Source organism: Homo sapiens, chromosome 18 (genome assembly GCF_000001405.40).
Source record: "Homo sapiens chromosome 18, GRCh38.p14 Primary Assembly".
NCBI classification, from domain to species: Eukaryota; Metazoa; Chordata; class Mammalia; order Primates; family Hominidae; genus Homo; species Homo sapiens.
The window spans coordinates 14280175-14291226 of record NC_000018.10 but is presented as its reverse complement, the minus strand read 5'-3'; positions in this window follow the sequence as shown (position 1 = coordinate 14291226).

Genomic DNA, 11052 nt, shown 5'->3' with positions numbered 1-11052 from the left:
CAACCACCTCCAATCCATGATTAAATCATCTCCCCCAGGCCCCACCTTCAACATTTGGAATTACAATTCCACCTGAATTTTTATAGGGACACACAGCCAAACCATATTATTCTGACCCTGATATTCCAGAATCTCATGTCCTTAACTCAGAGCAAAATACAATCATGCCTTTTCAAAAGTTCCAACAGCCTTAACTCATTCCAAGTGTAAAAAGTTCAAAGTCTCATCTGAGACAAGGCTACTGTCCCTTCTGCCTATGAGTTCCTGAATTTAAAAGAGATTTCTTTTCTTTCAAGGTACAATGATGGTACAGGCGTTGTGTAATCTTTCTCAATCCAAAGGGAAGAAATTTCGCAGAAAACACAACTGGGACCACAGGCCAAATGCAAGTCCAAAACCCAGCAGGACAGTATTCACTCAATCTCACAGCTCAAAAATCATCAAGGGAACTCACTATCATGCGGACAGCATTAAGGACATAGCGTTTACCCGTTTGTGAAGGATCTGCCCTCCCACCCTCATCTTTCACTCCCACCCACAAAATAATCTCTCCCATTATCCCCACACCCCTACCTCCAACACCCGCTCTTCTCCGTGATTAAATCACCTCCCACCAGGTCCCACCTTTAACATTCCCTACTACAATTCCACATGAATATTGGTAGAGACACAGAATCAAATCATATTATTCTGGCTCTTGCTCCCCAAATCTTCTATTCTTGTCACACTGCAAAATACAATGATGACTTCTCTACTGTCCCCCAATGACTTAACTCATTCCAGCATTTACTGAAATGTCCAAGGATTTACAGACCCCATACAAGTCAAAAACCCAGCAGGCCAGTCATTGAATCCTACAGCTCCAAATCATCTTTTCTGAATGGACATCTCACATCCAGAGCACAGGCGTGTCATGGCTGGGCTCCCAAGGCCTTGGGCAGCTCTGCACCTGTGGCTGTGCAGGGTCTATCCCCCATGGGTGCCCTCACAGGCTGGGCTGGTGTTGAGTGCCTGTAGCTTTTCCACACTAAGGTTGGAAAGGCCAGCTGTTGGTGGGTCTATGAATCTGGGGTCTGGAGAATGGTGCCTCCATATTTAGGGACTCCAGCCTTGTATTCTCCTTCTGTACTGCCCTAGTAAAGGTTTCCCATGAGGCTCTGCCTCTTGGAAAAGGTTCTGCCTGAACACCCAGGTTTTTCCATACATACTCTGGAGTCTAGATGCAGGCTTCCAAGCCTCTAGTTTTGTCCTATGTGCAGCTGCTGGCTTAACACTATGTGGAAGCCACCAAGGCTTGGAGCTTGCACTCCTGAAGCAGTGATGCAAGTTGTACCTGTGCATCTTTCAGCTATGGCTGGAGTTGGATCTGCAGGGATGCAGGCAGCAGTGTCCTGAGGCTGCACACAGACAGGGGTTATGCAACTGGCCCAGGAAACCATTCTTCTCTCCGAGGCCCCAGGGCCTATGATAGCAAGGGCTGCTGCAAAGGTTTCTGAAATGGCTTCAAGGCCTTTTCCCTATTGTCTTGGCTATTAGCACTGGGCTCCTTTTCATGCAAATTTCTGAAGCCTTCCTCAGTTTTCCCCTGGAAATCAGCTTTTCTTTTTGACCATTTGGCCAGGCTGCAAATTGTTGAGTTCTGTTTCTCATTTAATATAAGAGTTGGGAGTGATTTAATGTAAGACCCATCCAGATGTCATTTCCTCGGTCACACATAAGGGCACGGGCTTTTTGATACAGACAGGACACCCTTTCAGCTTTGCGACCCAGAAGTTCATTCCATCAGATACGCAGTAGGTCATCACCCTCAAGTTCAAAGTTTCACAGATCTCCAGGGCAGGGTCACTGTGCATCCACGTTCTTTGCTACAGCAAAACAAAAGTAACCTTGGCTCCTGTTTGCAGTAAGTTCCTCATTTTCATCCGAGAGCTTCTGAATCTGATCCTTACTGTCTATTTTCCTGTGAGCCTTCTGATCACAAGTATTTAACAACTCTTTACAAAGATCCAAACTTTCCCTCATCTCCCTGTCTTTGAAGTCCTCCAAACTCTCCCGAACTCCATCTGCTACCCCCTTCTGAACCTGCTTCTACATTATCAGCTATCTTTTCCCTGCCCTGGCAATGTGGTAAAGGAAGACAAGCCCATTTTCAGGGAAAAATTCAAGGAGGCTTCAGATACTTGAATAAAAAGAAGCCCATTGCTGATTGCCAAGACATTAGGGAGAAGGCCTTGAAGACATTTAACAGTTCCACTTTGCAGTAATAATTTTCTCCATGATCATAAAGAAAAGAGGTTTAATAGGGTAATGATTCTGCAGGCTGTAAGGAAGCATAGTGGCTTCTGCATCTGACAGGACTCAGGAAGCCTCCCAATCATACCAGAATGTCAAGGGGCAAGGAGATGTCTCATACGGGAAGAGTAGGAGCAAGACAGAGAAAGGAAAAAGTTGTCATGCCCCATTTTACAAGCAGATCTCATGAGAACTCATTATCACAAGGTCAGCATCTAGAAGATGGTGCTTAAACATTGGTGAAGGATCGGCCCCCCACCCCCAGCTCCCACTGTTTCCAGGCAGAAGCCTCCTTCAGATGCAGAGCCTCTTGGAAAACCTCTATTATGGAAGTGCAGAAAGAAAATATGGGCTTGGAGCCCCCACATATGTGGCCACCAACTTCCAGATCCCAGATTCATAGACCCACCAACAACTCACACCCTTAGTGTGGAAAAGCTACAGGCCCTCAGTACCAGCCCAGCCCACGAGAACAGCGGAGGGGTTAAAACCTGCAAAGCCACAGGTGCACTGCCCTAGTAGAGGTTTCCCACGAGGCTTTGCCTCTGCAGCAGTCTACTCCCCCTTCCTACTACCCCCCACCCTCCCACCACCCTACTGCTAACCCACTCCTCCCAATCCTACCCATCCTTTTTACCTTTCACTGCCAACAACCTCCTGTCCATAATTAAGTCACCTGCTTCAACATTAGGGATTACAATTCCACATGAGTTTCATAGGGACACTCAGGCAAACCATGTAATTCTGACCCCGATATTCCAGAATCTCATGTCCTTATCACAGAGCAAAATACCATCATGACTTTTCAAAAGTTTGCAAAATCTTAACTCATTCCAAATGTAAAAAATTCAGTCTCATCTGAGACCACGCCACAGTCTTTTCTGTTTATGAGTCCCTGAATTTAAAACGGAGTTATTTTCTTACAAGGTACAATGATGGTACAGGCGTTGTGTAAGCTTTCTCAGTCCAAAGGGAAGAAATTTCCCAGAAAAATAACACAAATGGGCCCACAGGCCCAATGCAAATCCATAACCCAGCAGGACAGTATTCACTCAATCTCTCAGCTCCAAAATCATCAAGAGAACTCACTATCAGGTGAACAGCATTAAGGAGAGTGTGTTTATCCATTTGTGAAAGATCTGCCCCCCACCCTCATCTTTCACTCCCACCCACAAAATAATCTCCCCTATTCACCCCACTCCCCTACCTCCAAACCCCATGCTTCTCCATGATTAAATCACCTCACACCAGGTCCCATTTTTAACATTCCCCATTATAATTCCACATGATTTTGGTAGGGATGCAGAACCAAATCATATTATTATGACCCTGGCCCCCATATCTCACGATCTTCTCACACTACAAAATACAATGATGCCTTCTCTACACTTTCCCAATGTCTTCACTCATTCCAGCATTTACTGAAATGTCCAAAGCCCAAAGTCTCTTCTGAGACAAGGCTGCAGTCCCTTCTGCCCATGAGCCTCTGAAATACAAAGCAAGTTAACTACTTCCAAGGTACAATGATTGTACAGGCATTGGGTAAATATTCCCAGCCAAAAGGAAAAAAATTGCCAGAAAGAAGCACAAAACACAGTTGAGACTTACAGACACCATGCAAGTCAAAAACCCAGCAGGAGAGTCATTGAATCTTACAGCTCCAAATCATTTTTTTTAATCCAGATCCCACATCCAGAGCACAAGGGTATGAGGCCTGGGCTCCCAAGGCCTTGGGCAGCTCTGCACCTGTGGCTTTGCAAGGTCTAACCTCCACAGTGGCTCTCATGGGCTGGGCTGGTGTTGAGTACCTGCAGCTTTTCCACAATGAGGGTGCAAGCTGTTAGAGAGTCTGAATCTGGCATTTGCAGAATGGTGCCTCCCTGTATGGGAGTTCCAACCCTATATGTTCCTTCTGTACTGCCCTAGTAAAGGAGGCTCTGCGTCTTGGAAAATTTTGACCTGGACACCCAGGTTTTTCCATATGTACTCTGGAGTCTAGACAAAGGATCCCCAGCCTCCAGTTTTGTGCTCTGCACACCTACTGGCTTAACACTACGTGGAAGCACCAAAGCCTGCAACTTGCTCCCTCTGAAGCTGTGACCCAAGCTGTACCTGTGCATCTTTCAGCCATGGCTGGAGCTGGAGCTTCAGGAATTCAGCCAGCAGTGTCCTGAGGATGGACACAGCAGCTGGGCCATGGTGCTGGAGAAGGAAACCATTCTTTTCTCCCAGGCCTCAGGGCCTGTGATAGCAAGGGCTGCTACAAAAGTCTCTGAAATGCCTTCAGGGCCTTTTTAACACTGTATTGGCTATTAGCACTGAACTCCATTTTATGCAAATTTCTGAAGACTTCTTGAACTTTCTCACTGACAATCAGCTTTTCTTTTTTTTTGACCACTTGTCCAGGCTGCAAATTTTCCAAACTTTTAAATATGTTTCACCATGAGGTCATTTCTCTGGTCACATATACGACCACAGGCTGTTCGACACAGACAGGACACCTCTTAAGCTTTGCTGCCTAAAATTTCCTTCCACCAGATACACTCTAAATTATCACCCTGATGTTCAAAATTTCACACGTCTCCACGTTAAGGGCATCGTGCAGCAACGTTCTTTGCTAAGGAAAAAACAAAAGTGACCTTGGCTCCAGTTCCCAGCAAGCTCCTCATTTTCATGTGAGACCTTCTAAGCCTGGTGATCACTGTCCATCCTTCTGTCACCTTTTTAATTACAACTATTTGACAAGTCTCTACACTGATCCAAACTTTTCCTCATCTTCCTGTCTTCTTCCAAGACCTCCAAACCCTCCAACCTCTGGCCATTACACACTTCTCAACCTGCTTCTACATTTTCAGCTACATTTGTCACAGCCTGGCAATGTGGTAAAAGAAGAAAAGTCCATTTCAGGAGAAAAACTAATGCAGACTTCAGACATTTCTGTGAAAAGAAGCTGAGTGCTGATTACCAAGACAATAAGGAAAAGGCCTTGAAGGCATTTCATAGCTCCACTTCACAGCACTAAATTTCTGTATAATCAGAAAGAAAAAAGGTTGGACTAGATCATGGTTCTGTAAGCTTTAAATAATTCCTAGAGGCTTCTGCCTCTGGGAGGACTCAGGAAGCCTCCCAATCATACCAGAAGACCAAGCAGTAATGGGATGTTTTATATGGCAGAAGTAGAAACAAGACAGAGAGAGGAAAAAGGTGCCACATGTTGTATAAACCTGTTATACAACCAGATTTCCTGAGAACTCACTATCACAAGGTCAGCATCAAGAAGATGTTGCTTAACCATTGGTGAAAGATCTGCCCCCTACCATCCCCACCCCCCACTGTTTCCAGGCAGAAGCCTCAGGCAGAGGCAGAGCCACTAGGAAAACCTCTGCTACGGCAGTGCAGAAAAAATATATGGGCCTGGAGGCCCCACACAGGAGGTCACCAACCTCCAGACCCCAGATTCATAGACCCACCAGCAGCTTGTACTCTCAGTATGGAAAAGCTACAGGCACTCAACACCAGCCCAACCCATGAGAGCAAACATGGGGGCTAAAGCCTTCAAAGCCACAGGTGCACTGCCCTTGTTTAGAGGTTTTCCATGAGCTCTGCCTCGGCAGCAGGCTACTCCCCCTTCCTACGGTCCACCACCCTCTCACCACGCTACTGCCAGCCTATTCCTCCCCACCCTACCCACTTGTTTTCTCTTCACCCCTACCACTCTGCCCTTTGTGGTTAAATCGCCTCCCACTAGGCCCCACCTACAACAGTCAGGATTACAATTCCCCATGAGATTTGTAGGGAAACACAGCCAAACCATATTACTCTGACCCTGACACCCCCACATCTCATGTCCTTCTCACACAAAAAAATACAAACATGCATTTTCAAAAGTTTCAAAATGTCTTAACTCACTCCAGCAGTAACTCAAATGTAGTAAATTCAAGTCTCAACCAAGAGAAGGCTGCAATCTCTTCTGCCTATGAGTTCCTGAATGTAAAAGACAATTCTTTTCTTTCAAGTTACAATGATGGCACAGGCACTGGGTAAGCTTTCTCAAACCAAAGGGAAGATTTTCCCAGAAAAATAACACAAATGGGACACAGGCCCAATCCGAGTCCAAAACCCAGCAGGACAGCATTCATTTATCATGAGAACTCACTATCACACAGACTGCATTAAGGAGATAGTATTTAACCATTTGTGAAGGATCTACCACCCATCCCCATGTTTCACCCTCACCCACACCATGAACCTCCATTCTCCCACATCTGCCTTCCAATCCTCATTCTCTACCATGATTAAATCACCTTCTACCAAGCCCCACATTTAACATTCCCCATTACAATCCCACATGTGTTTTGGTAGGGACACAGAGCCAAATCATATTATTCTCCCTTTGGCCCCCCAATCTCATATCCTTCTCATACTGCAAAATACAATGATGCATTCTCTACAGTCCCCCAATGTCTGAACTCATTCCAGCATTTACTCAAATGTCCATTTGTGAAGGATCGGCCCCCACCCCTGCCTTTCACCCCCAACCCCACCACAATTGCCCCAAGCCTTCCCACCCCCCAATCCCCCACCTCCCCACCACCACAATCCCCCTAACCCACCCCACCCCACAATCCCCCCAACACTCCCCACCCTCCCAACCATCCAACCTCCACTCTCCACCATGATTAAATCACCTTCCACCAGCCCCCACCTTTAGCATTTCCCATTAAAATTCCACATGAGTTTTGGTAGAGACACAGAGCCAAAACATATTATTCTGTCCCTGGTCCCCCAAAGTTCATGTCTTTCTCACATTGCAAAATGCAATGATGCCTTCCCTACAGTCCCCCAAGTCTTAACTCATCCCAGCATTTACTCAAATATCCAAAGCCCAAAGTCTCTTCTGAGACAAGGCTGCCATATCTTTTGCCCCGAGCCTCTGAAATACAAAGCAAGTTAACCACTTCCAAGGTACAATGGTTGTACAGGTATTGGGTAAGCATTCCCAGCCAAAAAGAAGAAATTTGCCAGAAAGAAGCACAAAACACAGATGGGACTTAGAAACTCCCTGCAAGTCAAACACCCAGCAGGCCAGTCATTCCATCATATAGCTCCAAATCATCTTTTTGGAATCTATGTCCACATCCAGAGCACAGGGTGGTGTGACAGCTGGGATCCCAAGGCCTTGGGCAGCTCTGCCCCTGTGGCATTGCAGAATCTTTCCCCCACAGCTGCCCTCATTGGCTAGCCTGGTGTTGAATGCCTGTAGCTTTTCAACACTGAGGGTGCAAGCAGTTGGTGGGTCTATGAAACTGGGGTCTGGAAAATGGTGCCTCCCTGTATGGGGACTCCAACCCTATATTCTTCTGTACTGCCCCAGTAGAGTTTTACCATGAGGCTCTGCCTCTTGGAAAAGCTTCTGGCTGGACACTCAGGCTTTCCAATATATCCTCTGCAGTCTAGATGAAGGCTCTGAAGCTTCTAGTCCCTGCTTTATGCACCTGCTGGCTTGACACTATGTGGAAGCCACCAAGGCTTGGAGCTTGCATCCTCTGAAGCAGTGACACAAGCTGTACCTGTGCATCTTTCATCCATAGCTGGAGCTGGAGATGGAGCTGCAGGGATGCAGGCAGCAGTGTCCTGAGGCTGTACACAGCAGTGGAGCCATGGGGCTGGGCCAGGAAACTATTCTTTTCTCCTAAGCCCTAGGGCCCTTGACAACAAGGTCTTCTACAAAGGTCTCTGAAATGCCTTCAAGGCCTTTTTCCCATTGTTTTGAATCATTAGCACTGGGATCCTTTTTATGCAAATATCCGAGGCCTTCTTGATTTTCCCCTGAAAATCAGCTTTTCTTTTTGACCAGATTACAAATTTCCCAAATGTTGAATCTCTGCTTCTCATTTAAATATAAGTTCCAACTTATGGTCATTTCTTTGATCACACATAGGAGCACAGGCTGTTCGATGTAGGCAGCACAGCTCTTGAGGTTTGCTGCTTAGAAGTTCATTCCACCAGATACACCCTAAATCATCATCCTCAAGTTCAGTTTCACAGATCTCCTGGGAAGGGTCACTGTGTAGCCAATTACTTTGCTAAGGCAAAACAAAAAAACCTTGGCTCCTCTTCCCAGTAAGTTCCTCATTTTCATCTGAGACCTTACAAACCTGGCCTTCACTGTCCATCCTTCTGTCAGCCTTTTAATCACAACTATTTAACAAGTCTCTGCAACGGTCCAAACTTTCCCTCATCTTCCTGTCTTCTTCCAAGCTCTCCAAACTCTCGAACCTCTGGCCATTACCCAATTTGGAATCTGCTTCTACACTGTCAGCTATCTTTGTTGCAGCCTGGCAATGTGGTAAAAGAAGAAAAGTCCATTATCAGGGGGAAACATCAAGATGGCCTCCAATATCTGCATTGAAAAAAGCTCAGTGCTAATAGCCAAGAGATTGGGGGAAAGGCCTAGAATTCATTTCATAGCTTTACTTCACAGCATTAATTTTCTGTATCTACATAAAGAAAAGAGGTGTAATTGACTCACAGTTCTTCAGGCTGTAAAGAAAGCATAGTGGTTTTTGCTTATAGGAGGACTCAGGAAGCCTCCCAATTATACCAGAAGGCCAAGCAGCAGTGAAATGTTTCATATGGCAGGAGTAGAAGCAAGACAGAGAGAGGAAAGAGGTGCGACATCCTGTTATACAACTAGATCTCATGAGAGCTCAGTATCAGGAGATCAGCATCAAGAAGATGGTGCTTCACTGTTGGTGAAGGATCCGCCCACTATCCCATATCCACCACCCACTGTTTCCAAGCAGAAGCCTGAGGCAGAGGCAGATCCTCTTGGAAAACCTCTACTAGGACAGTGCAGCAGGAAAATGTGGGCTTGGAGCCCCCATGCCACCATCCTCCAGACCCAAGAGTCATAGACCCACCAACAGCTCACACCCCCAATATGGAAAAGCTACAGGCACTCAACATCAGCCCAGCTCATGAGAGCAGCTACAGGTGCTAAACCCTGCAAAGCCACAGGTGCACTGCCTCAGTAGAGTTTTTCCATGAGCCTCTGCCTCTGCGGCATGCTACTCCCCTTCTGCTACACGCCACCCTACAGCCAGCTTACCCTCCCCACCTTACCCACCAGTTTTTAATTCCAACCCCACCCGTCTCCCATCCATGAATAAATCACCTCCCACCACGCCCCACCTGCAACATTCGGGATTACAATTACATGTGAGTTTAGGTAGGGACACACAGCTAAACCATATTATTCTGACCCTGATCCCCCGAATATCACATCCTTCTCACAGAGTAAAATACAGTCATGCCTTTGCAAAAGCTGCTGAAAGTCTTAAGTCATTTCAGCATTAATTCAAATGTAAAAAGTTCAACATCTCACGTGAGAAAAGGCTACAGTTCCTTTTGCCTATAAGTTCCTGAATTTAAAAGGGAGTTCTTTTCTTTCAAGGTACAATGATGGTACAGGCATTGTGTAAGCTTTCTCAATCCAAAGGTGAGATGTTTGCCAGGAAAACAACACAAATGGGATCACAGGGCCAATGCAAGTCCAAAACCCAGGAGGCCAGTATCCATTCACTCTCATGGCTCCAAAATCATCACGAGAACTCACCATCATGAGGAAAGGATTAAGGAGATGGTGTTTAACTATCTGTGAGGGATCCTCCCCCCACCCCCACTTTTCACCCCTCACCCCCACCATAAACCACCCATTCTCCAAAATCCCCACTTTCCAACACCCAGTGCCCTCCACGATTAAATCACCTTCCACCTGGTCCCACTTTTAACATTTCTGATTACAATGCCACATGAGTTTCCACAGGGACACACAGCCAAATCTTATTATTCTGTCCCTGCCCCACAAATCTCATGTCCTTCTCACTTTGCAAAATACAATGATGCCTTACTTACTATTCATCAACCACTATGCTTTTTTTTTACAGCCTGCAGAACCATGAGCCAATCAAACCCCTTTTTGTTATGATCATACAGAAAATTAGTACTGTGAAGTGAAGCTATGAAATGCCTTCAATGACTTTTCCCAATCGTCTTGGCTAAGACCCCCAAGGCCGTAACTCATTCCAGCATTCACTTAAATGTCTGGAGCCCAAAGTCTCATCTGAGACAAAGATGCAGTCCCTTCTGCTCCTGAGCCTCTGATATACAAAGCAAGTTAACTACTTCCAAGGTATGATTGTCCAGACATTGAGTAAGAATTCCCAACCAAAAGGAAGATTTTTGCCGAGAGAAGAACAAAACACAAACGGGACTTACAGGTCCCATGAAAATCCAAAACCCAGCCGGCCAGTTATTCAAACCTACAGCTCCAAAGTCATCCTTTTTTAATCCTTGTTCGACATCCAGGACACAAGGGTATGAGGGCGGGGTTCCCAAGGCCTTGGGCATTTCTCTACCTGTGGCTTTGCAGTGTTCAGTCCCCACAGCTGCCCTCATGGGCTGTGCTGGTGTTGACTGCCTGTAGTTTTTACCCACAGAGGGTACATAGTTCTTGGTGGGTCTATAAATCTGGGGTCTGCATGATGCTGGCATCCAGTGTGGGGGCTCCAACCCCATATTTTCCTTCTGCATTGCCCTAGTAGAGGTTTCCCAGGAGGCTCTGCTTTTTGGCAGCCTTCTGTCTGGACACCCGGGCATTTTCATACATCTTCCGAAATCCATATGAAGGCTCCAAAGCCTCTGGACTAGTGCTCTGTGCATTCACTGGCTTAACACTATGTGGAAGACATGAAGCCT